This window comes from Homo sapiens, chromosome 11 (assembly GCF_000001405.40).
Source record: "Homo sapiens chromosome 11, GRCh38.p14 Primary Assembly".
Classification (NCBI taxonomy): domain Eukaryota; kingdom Metazoa; phylum Chordata; class Mammalia; order Primates; family Hominidae; genus Homo; species Homo sapiens.
The window spans coordinates 102782860-102799780 of NC_000011.10; the positions used below are offsets into that span (position 1 = coordinate 102782860).

General features: G+C 40.0%; 1 protein-coding gene and 1 pseudogene across 3 annotated transcripts in view; one reads left to right on the plus strand and one right to left on the minus strand.

Moving 5' to 3' along the window:
• The first annotated feature begins 816 nt into the window (after window positions 1-816).
• Window positions 817-16921, plus strand: part of WTAPP1 (WTAP pseudogene 1) — a 53091-nt pseudogene continuing 36986 nt past the window's right edge. Inside the window, exons 1-4 of the transcript NR_038390.1 lie at window positions 817-1205; window positions 10286-10402; window positions 12289-12365; window positions 15165-15263. The product of NR_038390.1 is annotated as a WTAP pseudogene 1 (transcript). The remainder of the gene's footprint in view (window positions 1206-10285; window positions 10403-12288; window positions 12366-15164; window positions 15264-16921) is intronic.
• MMP1 (matrix metallopeptidase 1) lies at window positions 7060-15301 on the minus strand. Of its 2 annotated transcripts, none has more exons than NM_001145938.2 (10): window positions 15240-15301; window positions 14397-14600; window positions 14155-14303; window positions 13805-13930; window positions 12593-12748; window positions 12315-12432; window positions 9746-9879; window positions 8474-8636; window positions 7844-7947; window positions 7060-7662 (listed from the first exon to the last, which is right to left on the minus strand). In NM_001145938.2, exons 2-10 carry the CDS (start codon window positions 14546-14548, stop codon window positions 7553-7555), a joined length of 1212 nt encoding a protein of 403 aa, NP_001139410.1. In that variant the 5' UTR covers window positions 14549-14600; window positions 15240-15301; the 3' UTR covers window positions 7060-7552. The 2 variants fall into 2 exon arrangements, with proteins under 2 accessions (NP_001139410.1, NP_002412.1); NM_002421.4 differs by having other exon boundaries at window positions 14397-14641; window positions 15129-15301.

The following is a 16921-nucleotide window of genomic DNA, read 5'->3' on the forward strand; positions in this document are numbered from 1 at the left end:
TGTGTAGGCCTGGGCTAATTCGTGTTTTGTGTCTTCATTCTCAAAAAATAGTTTAAAAAATAAAAAAAATTAAAGATAGTAGAAAGCTTATAGGATAAGGATATCAAGAAAAAAATATTTTTGTACCTCTGTGAAACGTTTGTGTTTAACCTAAGTGTTATTACAAAAGAGTCAAAAAAAGTTTTAAATTAAAAAGTTTATAAAGTAAAAAAGTTACTACAGTAAGCTAAGGTTAATTTATATTGATGAAAGAAAAATGCTTTTATAAATTTAGTGTAGTCTAGGCATACAATGTTCATAAAGTCTACATAGTGTACAGATTCACTCACCACTCACTCACTGACTCACTTAGAGCAACTTCCAGTCTGGCAAGCTTCATTCCTGGTTAGTGCCCTATATAGTTGTACCATTTTTTATCTTTAATACCATCTTTTTATTGTATTTTTTAATGTTAAAATATGTGTAGATACAGTAATATTTATTATTATGTTACAATTGCCTCCAGTATTCAGTAGAATTTCATGCTGTATAGGTTTGTAGCCTAGGAGTAATAGGCTTGCTGGGCATGGTGGCTGACACCTCTACTCTCAGCTACTTGGAAGGCTGAGATGGGAGGATAACTTTCCCCAAGAAATTTTTAAAAGGCTATACCACATAGTCTAGGCATGTAGTAGGCTGTACCATAGAGGTTTGTGTAAGTTTAATCCATGGTGTTTGCACAATGGATAAATTGCCTAAGGACATGTTTCTTAGAATGTGTCCCCATTGTTAAGTCACACATGACTGTGTGTAATTAATTCAGGCCATTATTTTGTCATCTGTAAAATGGGGTGGATATAACCACACTCACAAAGTTATTTTGTATGCTTTATGCTGGGGAACAAATCTCTTCTTATTTCACTCCAACACCTTTAACAGACAAAGCTTGTTGGCCTGACAAATCTGTGACAATGCCCCTAGGCCCTGATTTGACAAGCTGTGAGATGCCCATTTTCGCTTGAGTCATAACTTTATTAGTGTTGACACATCCTGTTAATGGATTTTATTATGTGGTAATGATACAATGAAAGTTTACATTGTAGTAATAGCTACGACTATAATTGGGAGCCTATAGGGTAGCACATGCCTCACAGAAATGATGTTAGTGTTTAAACTTGTCCTGCATTAAACCATGACACCTGGTAGAAATTAATGCCCTGGAGCAGGTGAGTCCTATGTTTGTCTTTATATAATTCATTACTTGTTAAACCTACTGAAGTATGTATAGGGTCAGGCAAGGAAGCATACAGAGCTCATACTTAAAGAAAGGTGAAACGCCTGGTATTGAGCTTCCACTGTAGTCAGTTCTTAAATGTGAGTTATTTTTAAACTTCAGAACAACCCAACAAAGTTGAGATTAGAAAAATTGAATAATAAGCTCACGATCAAAAGCTAACAAGTGGGAAGAGATTATTCAGAACTGCCAGAAGAAACCTTCATGACTACAACTTGGATGTTTATCAAAAACTTCTTGGCTTCATTCCATATCTTTGCTATTGTGAATAGTGCTGCGATTAACATACAAGTACAGGTATCTTTTTGACATAATGATTTCTTTTCCTTTGGGTGGATATCCAGTAGTGGGATTGCTGGGTTGAATGGTAGTTCTATTTTTTTGGTCTTTGAGAAATCCTCATACTGTTTGGAATACTATGCAGCCATAAAAAGAATGACGTAATGTCTTTAGCAGTAACATGGATGGAAGTGGAGGTCATTACGTTATGTGAAATAACTTAGAAACAGAAAGTCAAATACTGCATGTTCTGATTTACAAGTGGGAGCTAAATAATGTGTACACATGGATATACTGTGTGGAATAATAGACACTGGGCACTCAAGAGGGTGGGAGGGAAAAGAGGGATGAGAAATTATCTAATGGGGGCACAATGTCTTCTGTTCCAGTGAGAGTTACACTAAAAGCTCAGACTTCAACACTATGCAATATATCCATGTGACAAAACTGCACTTGTACCCCCCAAATATATTTAAAATAATAGTAATAACAAAAGTTTTAAAACAACCTCTTGGCTTGGACCTTGGTTCTTCCCCAGCTTTTTTTCTTTTATGTCTTGACACTGTTCTTTATCTCTCATTCTTTTTTTTTTTTTTTTTTTGAGACAGAGTCTCACTCTGTCTCCCAGGCTGGAGCGCAGTGGCGCAATTTCAGCTCACTGCCAGCTCTGCCTCCTGGGTTCACACCATTCTCCTGCCTCAGCCTCCCGAGTAGCTGGGACTACAGGCGCCCGCCACCACGCCCAGCTAATTTTCTGTATTTTTAGTAGAGACAGGGTTTCACCGTGTTAGCCAGGATGGTCTCGATCTCCTGATCTCATGATCCGCCCGCCTCGGCCTCCCAAAGTGCTGGGATTACAGGCATGAGCCACCGCGCCTGGCCTATCTCTCATTCTTGAACTCACCCCTGAACATGCCTTCAATTTATCTCCTTAGCTTTTGTTCTTTTCTCCCAACTCTCTGATCATCCTGCTAACACAGCTACTTCATTTGATCTATGTTTATCTGTTCTGTCACTTGAAGTTCCTCTTGGCCTGTGCTGCACTGATGTGATCCAGACAGAATGCAGGTCTACAATCCATTGCAATTTCAGTAACTAAGACTGAGAAATGCCTAACGGTTTCTCACTTCCAGTTTATTCAATTCTTGGGAAAACTGGTTAGCTATTAATTTTCAATACCCAAAGACCTCTGATTTTAAGGTTGTACACTTATACATATAATCCTGCGTCAACCATGGCATGACATTGACTTCAGTATTTTGCAACTTCTTCTTTTGTTGGAAATTACTGGTTTTTACACAGACTCATAACAAGTGAAAAGTTGATCTCTTTCCCATGCTTTTAGTTCCAATTTGACTGCTTCACAATGGGAACACAGTTTATTGTTAGATTTATATTCATTCTTTTCTCTATTCTGATAGTTTAGTCAAATATTGCAGGCCACTTGTGCTTGCTATAGAAAATACTATCAATGGAAGGAGGCAAAGTATCAAAGTAGGGGTTAGACGGACCTCAGAATCATGACTTCAGTGTTGTGAATATTAGAAAGCATAATTTTATGTTGTGTCCTATAATGGCCATTATTATTTTAACAATACCTAAACACATAAAATAATGCTCTATGAATGCAGTTACTGTATTTCCAATGTGTAGGAGATACAGTAACAATGTGTTAGGTTAGTTGCTCTGTTGATTCCTTGGTGCAGTGGGCTTTTCTGGTGGGAAGACCCTCAGTGAGGAGGAAAGAAGCACTGAAGAAAAATTCTGGCTGTAGGGGAATATGCGAAAGAAAAGGGCAATTATCATTTGTTGAATATTTTCAACATGACAGGCACTGTGCTAGGTGATCTAACCTCTTCTATCTTTACGACAATCCTGGAAGTTAGTATTATTTTCCCTTTACCATAGAAAGGAAACGAAGATTCAGAATGGTCAAGATCACAAAGAGTTGAGTGGCAGAGCAGATCTTGCAGCTTTGCACTGCAATTCATTGGCCAGAACACTGCCCCTTTAAGACATATGGGCTAGGTCTGGAAAAAAGCTACTACTTCCCCTTAGAGTGGTGTTTGGGGTTAAATTCTCTAAAAGGATTCAAACTGGAAGGCTAGAGCCTCGTTTAAAACCCAAACAAAACCCAAACAAGCAAAACCCCTACTTTCTAGTGCATTTGTGGGCTCAAAGACAGCAGGGGAAATCTCTAAACACTCCTCTTGAATCACTCTGTATCATGTTTCTGAGGCTGTGTTAATTTGCTCTAGTAAAGAAATCATGTCTGAAATAGTAGCTGTGATGATAATTACCCACTAGGTAAGTTACCTGCTAGGTAGTTACCCACTAGGTAAGGCCACCGTCATGATGTATTGGGTTTATGCAAGGGCTCCAAGGATTCATTGAGTGAGGCTGTGAGAGGATTACCCTCCTTGTTGCTTTTAAAACTCTGATAGTGTAACCAGTCTGTGCAATCCTCCCAGGATGTGACATTGGTTTTTTGCTGCTTTTGGTTTACTATTTTGGCCAGAGTTTAGGAGGAGCAGTTTCAGGGGCTACTAGTTGGCCCTTCCTACCATAAAGATCTTATTCCAGAAGTCAGGGAACAACCACAAGATGGTCTGTGGGCCCGCTGGGCCCACTGTGAGATGACCTTGAGTCAGAACCCTATTTATCACTTTCCCTCATATACCTCCTTTCTAAACTGGAAGGCCTTAATACCATGTTGGGACCTCTGATACCAGCTCAGTTCAGATCTGGTATCCAACTGTCCTTGCCAAATCTGAGTACTCTTCTTCCCCAGTGCACGGTTACCCTGGTGGATGGCCATAGGTACCTTTATGAGGATAATTTAAAAGACATATGTAATCCTTGGTATGTAGTGGCATCACAGTTACTAAGATGTGTGTGTGTGTGTGTGTGTGTGAGAGAGAGAGAGAGAGATAGAGAGAGGGAGAGAGAGAGAGACTAGGTCCCCTTGAAGGAGGATTTCTGTCTCCATATATACACATACATATATATATACACACACACATACATATATGTATGTTTTTTATGATTTTTGTATACATATTATAACATATACATATTATGCATGTTTTATATTATTTGTACATACATATGATAAGTATGATTTGTATATACATATGTATATGTATATATAGTATATGTGTGTATATAAATGGAGAGATATATGTATGCATGTGTACATACATATGTATATATATGTATATGGATATGGATGTGTATGTATATACATGTATATACATATACATCTGTATGTATGCACTTTTACCATTCTGCTATCCCATCATCTTTAATGATACTAGAGAGGCCAATTCCCCAGAAACACCTCATATTCTTAACCCACCTCACAGAGAACAACCACCACCAGGTATCTCTGAGACACCAGTGTGCACCCTCACCAGTGTGGTCCTTATGGCTTCAATGAAAGCCAATGAAAAGAGTGCCCTCTGGGCCTTCCCAGGCAACAGAGTATGATGGTGGGTTCTTCAATTTCATGTAATAGATTCATTTTAAGGTTCAAATCTCTCTGTGTCTTCTGACTTCTTCCTCAAAATCATGCCACAGAAATTCTGGCATCTCCACCTCATATGCCACAGGACATCATTGTGTCCAAGATTTGAGAATCCATGTCAGCAGAGTATTAGACAAGCTCCTGGTTTCCTTTCTAGGAAATTGATTCCCAAGTCAAGAATGTGTGTATCGATGTCAATAAATTCTTCTCTCTTCAGCCTTACATCCCCCAACTTAATCTGATGCCTTTCAGATTTACTCCCATATGTGTTTCCTTGATTTCTGATGATACTTAATGCCCAGGTCCTATAATTCTTTTGGTTAGTAACCTATATTTCCTACCATAGCTAGGATCTGAACTATGCTGAGACCTGATCTTAGTCATTTGCCTGAAAATAATGAGCAGAGGGAAGATCAATCTGGGATGAGGGCAAGCACTATCTTGTGAGGTTTTTGTCTCAAATGAGGTCTTTATCAATTCTCCATGCAAGCATAGTTTGTGCTCCTCTGGCAAGAGGGAGGTACTACTTCTGCCTGTGTAGAGCTTGCTTCTGCCTGTGTAAAGCTACTTGCAAGACTCCTGCCTACATAAACTTTCCTCCCAAATTAGTCATGATAAACTAGTGATTATCTTGACAAACTATATTATGCAGCATTAATCAAATAGAAAATCTTAGTGGCTTAGGAAATAAAAGTTGTATATATGTTTAGAGACAAGAATCTCATTCTGTAACCCAGGCTGGAGCGCAGCGGTGATATGGTTTGGCTCTGTGTCCCGAGGCAAATCTTGTGTGGAATTGTAATTCCTCAGCGTTGGAGGAGGGATCTGGTGGGAGGTAACTGAATCATGTGAGTGGATTTCCCCTTTGCTGTTCTTGTGATAGTGAGTGAGTTCTCACAAGATCTGGTTGTTTGAAAGTGTGTAGCACTTCCACCTGCTCTCTCTCTTCCTCTTGCTCCAGCCACGTAGGACATGCCGGCTTCTCTTTCACCTTCTGTCATGATTATAAGTTTCCTGAGGTCTTTCCAGCCATGCTCCCTGTACAGCCGGTGAAACCGTGAGCCAATTAAACCTCTTTTCTTTATAAATTATCCAGTCAGAGGTAATTCTTTATAGCAATGTGAGAACGAACTAATAAAGTGGTGCGATTATGACTCACTGAAGCCTCCAACTCCTGGGCTCAAGTGATCCTCCCATCTCAGCCCTCAGAGTAGCTGGGAATACAGGTGTGTACCACTATACTCAGCTATTTTTAAATTTTTTTTTGTAGACGTAGAGCCTTACTATGTTGCCCAGGCTGGTCTCAAACTCCTAGTCTCAAGCAATCCTCCTGTCTCAGCCACCCAAAATGCTAGGATTATAGGTGTGAGCCACCATGGCCAGCCTAAAATTTGATTTCCTGCTTAAGCAAAGTCTACTGAGGTTTGTGTAACTATTTGGAGCATTTACCTCCAGCAATTCAGCTTGTTCTGTCTTGTGGCAACTCTCTCATGATGTACTTCTACCACAGGACAGAAGGAGTAGACTACTAGAGAAATTTCCACCAGCAATTAAATGTTCCAGTCTGAAAATGATATTTGTCACTTCTTCACTCAACCCTCTGGCTAGAAGTAGTCAGATGCCCCACTGCCCACCACCCAACTCTGCAAGGAGTTGGACTGTGGGAAAATGGAACCCTCCCATATGTTCAGAAGAGACAAAATGACATACACCTAGAACGCTCTACCATGATGTCACTGATTTTACCTAAAACCACTTTTGGAATCCATAAATGGGGCAAGGGAAATGGATTCCCCTCCCCCACCCCAGTTTATATGGTATAAATTCCATGTGAATAGAGAATAGTTGAGTTTTTTGTATATCCTCATTTCCCACATGAACATTTTTTATATTGTCTACTTCCCATTTCAAATTTGAAAAGCAGTCTCTGTAAGGGTGGCGTTGTCATCAGAAAGTAACAATAATAAATATAGAAAGTGTATAAAACAGTAGAAACAAGGTTGACTTTATTCCAAACATAAAACACTTATTTTGTGTTAGAAGAGTTATCCCTTGCCTATCCAGGGTGACACCAGTGACTGCACATGTGTTCTTGAGCTGCTTTTCCTCCGGCAAAGACTCATGTCTCCTGTCTCTTTCTGTCTTGAAAGGATATGTTTGTCACTGAAGCTGCTCTCTGGGATCAACGTCAGAGTTGCATACTCTGGAAAAGATCTTTGCAACTCTGGCCTATATGAATCCATAAGCCACAAACTTGACTTTTTGTACCCACCATTTGTGGAACTAAATTATATCAGTACAAAAAGGGCTACATTCTAAATAGTAAAAAAATATGCAAACTGAGGTATAAATAAGATTATATTCTGTGTATCAGTGACTCTAGAGGTTAAAAATGACTGAGAAAATAGACAGTTCTTCAGGAAAACACCTTCTTTGGACTCACACCATGTGTTTTCCATTCAAATTAGTAATGTTCAATTTTTCCTGCAGTTGAACCAGCTATTAGCTTTCTGGAGAGTCAAAATTCTCTTCGTTTTAGGATCAAATTTGTATTGTCTTGTTCCATGAAAGAAATAGAAAAATCCTAGAAACAAAACAAAAGAGACTTACTACATTATACAAGTAGTTTCTAGGTTTAACTTGAATTCTTGAGAAACCAATTCATCTGTGAGCACAGATATTTTTGGCATTTGCTGTTCCAACTAACAATAATGATGTTATTGCTACGGCAATGAAATGGAGGAAATACATGTATATTCACTTACCATCTTTCATGAAAACTGCATCAACTTTGTGGCCAATTCCAGGAAAGTCATGTGCTATCATTTTGGGATAACCTGGATCCATAGATCGTTTATATTCATCATACCTGGTCAGAAAAGAGTTAAGAGTGTCAGACCTTTTGCTAAACATGTGCACTCTGAAAATCATTACAGAAAATACACAATGAGGAATTTAACCAGAATATTTCATTTTATAGATCATTTGTGAAATGGGGAGTGGATGGGATAAGGTGGAATGTTGGGTGAACTAAAAGGCCTTTAAGGCCCCTCTGAAATCCAGCATCGAATTCTCCAGTAGGTTCTACGCTATGTCCTATCGAGGTAACATACTATGGAAGATAAGTAACTTTTGGCCAAAGTAGCTCCGTTAAGATGAATGTCCTCAATTCTACATCCTTTTAAAATTCATCCCCCTACATTCTCTGGATTCCCAGTGCAGGCATTGTGTGATGATTATTGGTCAATAGACTAAATAGATGATAGATTGGCACCAGCCATCTGAAGGAAAGGATGCCGGCCAAGGCAGTTTGAGACTCACTTTGAAATGGGCTATTCTAGAACTTTTTATGTAGAAAGAACTGAGGCCCTAACATTCTCTGCACTTAAACTTACCTCCAGTATTTGTTAGCAACAAAGAAGTAGGTTTTTCCAGTGTTTTCCTCAGAAAGAGCAGCATCGATATGCTTCACAGTTCTAGGGAAGCCAAAGGAGCTGTAGATGTCCTTGGGGTATCCGTGTAGCACATTCTGTCCCTGAACAGCCCAGTACTTATTCCCTGCCAATCAAGAAAGAGTGATAAAACACTTGCCTAAGACTTCAATAGGCAGTAAGTGAATTTTCAGCTAAGTTCTTAGTTTCACATGCTAGTGCAGTACCCTGGCTGCAGATTAGAATCATCTAGGGAGATTTTTGAAAATACTGATGCCAGGACCCTATCCCAGACCAATTAAATGTGTCTATCTTTGGAAGCTTCTTAGTTGATTCTAATCTGCAGCAAGCTTTGAGAATGACTTGTTTATGGAGTTGGGGGCTTCTTTCCACAGTCAGATGTTCAAATGACTAAAGAGTTAGTTATGCCACCTTGGTGATATAAACTTCGGTTCTCCAGGTTTGCTCATGGACTGTGGAAGTTCAAACCATTTGTATCATAAAGGGTGAAGTGCTGTAGTGACTCATAACCTGTAAGGGTTTGCAATCCTGGATTCAAATCACTGCATTTGACTAGAAGATAGTTCCAAATACTTGAATTAATGCTGTGTCCAGATTCCGTGTTTATACTCAGTAAGCCCCTCATCACATAAAGCTGGTCTCATATACTAAAGCCAAGATTTCTGTTACTGTACACACGTGCTATTTACCCCTCATGAAAAAGGAATTTGAAACTTTCTGTCTCTAACATCCATTTAATTTCATAATTTAAAGGCTAAAAATCCTGTTTCAAAGCGTTTGGCCCATCTGACCTGCATTTAATTCTTTGCCTTGAGTGTATGGCTGAGTCAAATGTCTTACTCATTGTACTACGTTAAACACACGTTTGCAAAAATATTGGTGCGTGGCATAGTGTCTCGAGTTTTACTTTGAGTACTCCCAGGAATATGGAGGGGGTTTTAAATACATAGTTTGTGCAGAAAATATTTTTGTAAATCTAGATTCATTAAAAAGGCCAGAACGTTCTATCTCCAGTCATTTGCCTTTTGTTTAAAATGACTCCAAAATGCGCTACGCACCGTTTAGTTAAGTTGATGGACTTTCATTGATTTGGTTGGTGAGACTGAGATTTTCAAAAGTCCCTGGAGAGAATGTAGCTAGTAACCTTATATCTCAGCCCCAAAGGGAATGAAAAATTGATTTATTAAAGCAGTGAAAAATAATTAGAAAGATTACCTTTGAAAAACCGGACTTCATCTCTGTCGGCAAATTCGTAAGCAGCTTCAAGCCCATTTGGCAGTTGTGGCCAGAAAACAGAAATGAAATTGAGCTCAACTTCCGGGTAGAAGGGATTTGTGCGCATGTAGAATCTGATTAGAAAAAAAGCAAGAAAAGTTTCCATCTAATTTCTGGTAATCTCTGGCAGATATCCAGCTCCAGCTCCTTCTTGTTGCTGGCACTAGTGGTGTGCTGGTAAATGTATAACATTCAGCTCTCCAAAGAAGGGTTGGTTTATAGCATTTGCTGATTTCACTAGCTTGAAATACTCCCATTATGATGAATTTCAAGAGTCTCAGTGGAGCACCATTGTATAGCATACAAATAAAATAGGCATAAGTAACTTTAAGAACATAAATAAGTAGAAAAATGCAGTAAAAATTATGACAAACTGATGAATTTTTATTATTTTTATTACCTTTTATTTTAATGTAATTTAATTTTGTTTATATAATTTAAGTTTTATCTCTTTTTTATTTATTTACTTTTTTGAGACAGAGTCTCACTCTCTCACCCAGGCTGGAGTGTAGTGGTACAATCTTGGCTCAGAGCAACCTCTGCCTCCCAGATTCAAGGATTCTCCTGCCTCAGCCTCCTGAGTAGCTGGGATTACAGGTACAGGCCAACACGCCCAGCTAATTTTTGTACTTTTAGTAGAGACAGGGTTTCACCATATTGGCCAGGCTGGTCTTGAACTCCTGATCTCAAATGATTCCCCCGCCTCCGCCTCCCAAAGTGCTGCGATTACAAGTGTGAGCCACTGCACCTGGCCTATAATTTAATTTTTAATAATGGCTATGGTTCACAGCTAGCTTGCAAAATTCTTCAAAATTTAACAGTCAGCTTTGGTGAGCCATTAGGGATCGGCTGTGCACATTACCAACTGGACCATGACTCTAATATCCTATTATTTAGTGATTACTTACAACACACCAGGCCCATTCCTTACATCAGACCTTATCACAAGGACACTACAAGAGAGTATTTGAGGATGAGAAATTGAGGTTGGGGAGACTAAGGGAGGTGTCTAAGGCCACCCAGCTGGTAAGAGGCTAAGGTTGATTTTTAAACTCCGCTCTGGCAGCCAATCCCTTTGTTGTCCCTTGGTTAGTAGTATTTACACAAAGTGGATTATAGAGCTTAATAGGGACTAGGGTAACAGCACAGCATAGACTGTTATGTGGGCTGACACAGAAGAGCTCCAGATTCCAGGCCACAGGGAAGCCTACGGCCTTGGCTGTCGGAAACCTGACTTCTAGGTCCAGTCCTTCCTCTGCCTGGCTGTGATGCCTTAGGCAAATCAGTTACTATCTCTATCTCTAGCCTTTCATGTCTCCTCGACATGGCGACATTTAAATGATCTCTGTGTCCTTTCAATTCTGGCAAATCCTCAAATTGGTCCTGTTCCATCTAGTAATATTTGGTTTGATAGGTGTGTCCTGTTGTACTGAGAGGTTTCCTTTAAAACCATGTGTTTTCTTAACTTGTCCCAGCATTGAACCACACCCTGTATAGTTTACCTCCAGCCTTATCTTTTACACTTAAAAAGTAAAGAGAGGGCAGAAAGAATTATGAGCCAGTGCCCTGAATTCTAGGAGAGATGCGACTACAGAGTAGTAAAACAGTGCCACAGCACTTGAGAGGCTGCAGAGAATGAGCCTTTCAGGCCACCCTGAATTTCTATGTGTTGATCTTTCTGTGGACTGCATCATTCACCAAATGCGGTGTGCAATAACACACCAAAAGAGTGTGTTATTATTTTGCCTGATCCTTTAGGAATCACTATGGTACAGAGAGCAGGCCTCCTCCTTGCATGTGAGATGACCCCAACTTTTTGAGTCCACATGCTGCAGAGGGAGTTCTAGGATTCTTCTTTGAAGAGGGAAGCACCATGTTGTGGCTGCCCCTATCTGTCCCAGGAGGGATTTCATCAGTTCTTGGGGACTTTCCCAGCATTGGTGCCCTCTCTTCTCTTCTTCTCTGGGCCTCCAGGGGGCAACAGAGACCCTTCAAGTTAATAGGCTTTGGGAGGGCCATTTTTCCAGGATGGCAGGGGAGATAATTAAAGGATGGCTATGCAACCCTCATCAGTGAGATGTTGCTATGGAAAGGACCACTTTCTCCTAAGAAAGTCCAATGATACTTATCACCATAAAGAGTGGCATAATGAAAAGAGACCTGAAATAGGGAACAGAAGACCAATAACTGCTCTGCTACCAATGAGCTCTATGCCCCCAAAAGATCTCTTTCCTTCTCTCTGACTTACTTTGCTAATCTGTAAAAAAAGATCATACATACTGATTTTCAAAATCAACTATATTTTCTGAGAATCAGTTGACCTAATACATGTAGAAAAACAAAGTTGTTACAAGTACATTATGTTGCACAAATGCATGTGGTTGCTACCATGTGATTATAGATGTAAATCAGCATGAAATAAGTAACATGTGAAGCATAATAGTTAATCATAGTGGTGAATGTTGTTATTATTACAAATGCAGATCACAAAGAAGAACTGACATCTTACCTGTCTTTAAAGAACATCACTTCTCCCCGAATCGTAGTTATAGCATCAAAGGTTAGCTTACTGTCACACGCTTTTGGGGTTTGTGGGCCGATGGGCTGGACAGGATTTTGGGAACGTCCTAAGGAAAATAAAATACCTAGAGTTAGTTTTGCCTAGTATTAGAAAACTACATAAACAATGAAGACAGCTTCTTCAAGGATATCGCTAATGGCTGTTTTATTTGAAATACATATAAAGACCACCAGGCCCTTGTCCGTAATGTTTTTCCCCATACTCACCATATATGGCTTGGATGCCATCAATGTCATCCTGAGCTAGCTGAACATCACCACTGAAGGTGTAGCTAGGGTACATCAAAGCCCCGATATCAGTAGAATGGGAGAGTCCAAGAGAATGGCCGAGTTCATGAGCTGCAACACGATGTAAGTTGTACTCTAAAAAGGCCAATAAATCAATTTGTAATTATTTGAAAGGTATTCAGTTTTGAGGCATTTAACTAATAAATAATTTACAACTACAAGGACTCATGTTACTATTTTATCAGTGACTTTTGAAATATATGCATGTATATCTTTTTTCCGAAGGCAGAAGGCATGCATTTATTAATAACGAAGAGACATGTTGAAACCTAAACTCTATGATTACATTGATACAATTAAAAGACAAACTCAGCTGACTGAAAGCGCACCACAGATTAATCAATATTATCAATGATTAAATGACACGTACTATTTCACACAGAAGCAAAATGTTCTATTAACATTTAATATTTTTCTTTTTCTTTTTTTCTTTCTTGAGACGGAGTCTTGCTCTGTCACCCAGGCTGGAGGGCAGTGGCATGATCTTGGCTCACTGCAACCTCTGCCTCCTGGGTTCAGGCGGTTCTCCTGCCTCAGCCTCCTGAGTAGCTGAGATTACAGACGTGTGCCACCATGCCTGTCTAATTTTTATATTTTTAGAAGAGACAGGGTTTCACCATATTGGTCAGGCTGGTGTCAAACTCCTGACGTTGTGATCTGCCTGCCTTGGCCTCCCAAAGTGCTGGGATTACAGGCATGAGCCACTGCGCCCAGCCTAATATTTAATATTTTTCTTATTTACAAAACTGATAAATGTTGACTGCTGGAAATTTTGGAAAACACAAAAAGCCTTCCTTTTCTTTAATTTCCACATAAGTTTATGACCGCTGTTAAATTTCACTGTTTTCTTCTAATGAAAAAGTTTCAATGTTGATGCCCACAATTAAAACATCAAAGTTTTCAACAATTTTCTTAATAAAAATTTTAGAGTGGCCTAGTTGTCACTGCTAAGATGTTGTTAGCTAGCAGAAAAGACCGCTCTTTCACTTTTCTAAGTGTATCACTAATTTTCTGAGTGGTAATAGAAAAATATATACTTCTATGAATGCATTCTTTCAACTAAATCAACCAATATTACAATGAAACATGAAGGGGTGGGAGAATTGAGAGAGGCAAATTTGATTGGCTTACCTCTGAAATTGTTGGTCCACCTTTCATCTTCATCAAAATGAGCATCCCCTCCAATACCTGGGCCTGGTTGAAAAGCATGAGCAAGATTTCCTCCAGGTCCATCAAAAGGAGAGTTGTCCCGATGATCTGAAAGAAACAATTCAACAAAGATTCCTTGTGGTTCTTATGTAAGCTAAGCCAGAAGGGCAAGCATTAGCTTTGTTAAGAGGCCAACAGACTTCCATCAACTGTGATGCAGTTTCCCTCTTCGAGCCCATAAAATCAACATTCATCTTAAACAATCAATTCCAGTTGCAAAGCTACGAGATCTAGGGGCAAGGTGAGGTTAAGGTGCTATAAGAAGAACTTACCTCCCCTGACAAAAGATATCATGATGTCTGCTTGACCCTCAGAGACCTTGGTGAATGTCAGAGGTGTGACATTACTCCAGAGTTGGAAGGCTTTCTCAATGGCATGGTCCACATCTGCTCTTGGCAAATCTGGCGTGTAATTTTCAATCCTTAGAATGAAACAAAATAGAGACACATTGGACATGACTTCTTACCACTGTCATGGGAAATAGCTCTCTCACTCTGGCCCTCAGTCTGCCTACCTGTAGGTCAGATGTGTTTGCTCCCAGCGAGGGTTCCCCTCAGTGAGGACAAACTGAGCCACATCAGGCACTCCACATCTGGGCTGCTTCATCACCTTCAGGGTTTCAGCATCTGGTTTCCCAGTCACTTTCAGCCCAAAGAATTCCTGCATTTGCTTCAATTTTTCAACCACTGGGCCACTATTTCTCCGCTTTTCAACTTGCCTCCCATCATTCTTCAGGTTGTAGTATTTTTCCAGGTATTTCTGACAAAAGAAAATTATCGAAACACTGCATGGGAAATCTTTCTCATTATTCTAAAAATTGATGGCATTAAGTTTTAGCCAAAACAGAGAACTGCTTTTAAACCTTGTGTTTAGATTTCGCAGTTGCTTTTATCCTTATTTTTGGTGAGAAATGAAATTTCAGAGTAGAAATGTCCCTACTATTAGTTATTGTGAAGTAAGAACTTCATAGTAGAGCAATTTTTGTAGAGCAAGATTTGCATACTGTTACAAGTCTACAATTTGTGGAGACAAGTTTGGATGTTGTTCCTTTAGTTCACTCTCACCTCCAACTGGAAAAAGAGAGCGTATGCATGGCTAGATACATTTTGGGTGGAGGGTGCTGTTTCTAGCAAAAAAAAAAAAAATCTCTTTATAAGAAACCTATCCTTAAAAAACTCTATTACATTACTGCAGAAAAATACAAACTAAAAATTTACATTATTGTCACATGCAATGCAGCATTTACCTGGACTAAGTCCACATCTTGCTCTTGTGTTTCTAGAGTCGCTGGGAAGCTGTGAGACACCACACCCCAGAACAGCAGCAGCAGCAGTGGAGGAAAGCTGTGCATACTGGCCTTTGTCTTCTTTCTCAGTGCAAGGTAAGTGATGGCTTCCCAGCCTCTTGCTGCTCCAATATCCCAGCTAGGAAGCTCCCTCTGTATATATAGAGTCCTTGCCCTTCCAGAAAGCCAGAGGCTGTCTGACTCATGCTTTATAACATCCTCTTGATTAGCTATGAATAGACTAGGCAATCATTAGAAATGGTGACTCCTAGCAGATTATTTGGAATCACTTGGTGTTGCAATGTCATGATTAACTTCAAACAAGATGTGTGCGAAGGAGACACACTCTGCCATGTAAACAGTGGTTTTCTCCAATTCATTTCTTTCCTATTTGAGAAAGGTTCTTGTTATATACACAGGTCAAAGAGTACTCCATGGTCTTTTTGAAAAAGACTGGTTCTGATGGTCATAAAGTGCTACAGGTTTCTCCACACACCTTGCTCCCAGGGCAGAGGGTGGAATTACTAACACTGCGCACCTGATGGCTGTTCGGCACCTGTACTGACTGAAGTTCAGCTCCCCCAGCACTCACTTTACGGTGGCTCTTCGGGGTTCTCTGAGGTTCCCTTCTGCCTTTGTTAAGCTGCCTGGTACCCTATTGCGATAGCACCATGGCTTCCCTTAATCTTTACTCAGAGCCAGGCATGGTGGCTCAAGCCTATAATCCCAGAATTTCAGGAGGCCGAGGCAGGGGAATCACTTGAGCCCAGGAGTTCAAGATCAGCCTGGGCAACATGGTGAGACCCCATCTCTGTAAAAAACAAACAAACAAACAAACATTTTTTAAAGTTAGCCAAGCATGGAGTCATGCACCTGTAGTCCTAGTCACTGAAGAGGCTGAGGTGGGAGGATCACTTGGGCCTGGGAGGTTGAGGCTGCATTGAGCTGTGATTGTGCCGCTGCACTCCAGCCTAGGCAACAGAGAGGGACCCTGTCTAAAATAAAATTTGAAAAAATTTACTCAGGCCTAGGATTTAAGAGCCTTACCTGAGAAGACCCCTCATCCACAGGCGGAGTATGAGATAACTCCCCACCCCTTGCCCATCATTATCATGGGACAAATAGGATCCTTCCCTGAAACTTGTCTGAATGTACCGGATGATGAAAAGGCTGGAAAGAGACTGAGCGTGACTCTGGGGTCTTATTTTTAATCATACTTGTTTCCCTTGATATGAGTCTATCTTCGCTCCTTGGTGCTAGGCAGCATTTATTTATTCTTTCATGTATGCATTCATTCATATATTTATGCATTCCTCCATTCAAAAGATCTTATTTAGCATCTCCTGCCCATTAAAATAAATACATGGCTCTGTAATGAAAGATGTGTATTCCTGTACTTATGTTCCACATTAAATTGTCTTGGGTACTGGTGACCGGTGTCACCAGTGCTATCTGTAGCATTCCTGGTAAGAAAAGTTGGTTTATCTCTGTAGCTCCCCTACTCATGCCCCACTCTCCTTCCTTGGAAGCATTTATTGAAAACATACAGTGGAGAAACACTGGCCTGTTTTATCACTTCAGCACCTTATGGTGTCTCCCACCTTTCCCACTGTATCAGGTTTGCTTTTCAACACTTTCCTCCCCTTATGGATTCCTGTTTTCTTTCTGCGTCAAGACTGATATCTTACTCATAAACAATACTTCAGTATATCTTGGATTGATTTGAGATAAGTCATATCCTTTCTAATTATTTA

What these genes read in the sequence shown, in the direction of transcription:
- MMP1 (NM_002421.4), bottom strand. Translation starts at nt 15,233, where the DNA reads ATGCACAGCTTTCCTCCACTGCTGCTGCTGCTGTTCTGGGGTGTGGTG. An exon ending in GATATCTTTTGTCAGGGGAG is followed by an intron (nt 13,931 to 14,154) that starts GTAAGTTCTTCT and finishes TGTTTCTTTCAG; the next exon opens with ATCATCGGGACAACTCTCCT. An exon ending in TGCAGTTTTCATGAAAGATG is followed by an intron (nt 7,663 to 7,843) that starts GTAAGTGAATAT and finishes TTTTGTTTCTAG; the next exon opens with GATTTTTCTATTTCTTTCAT.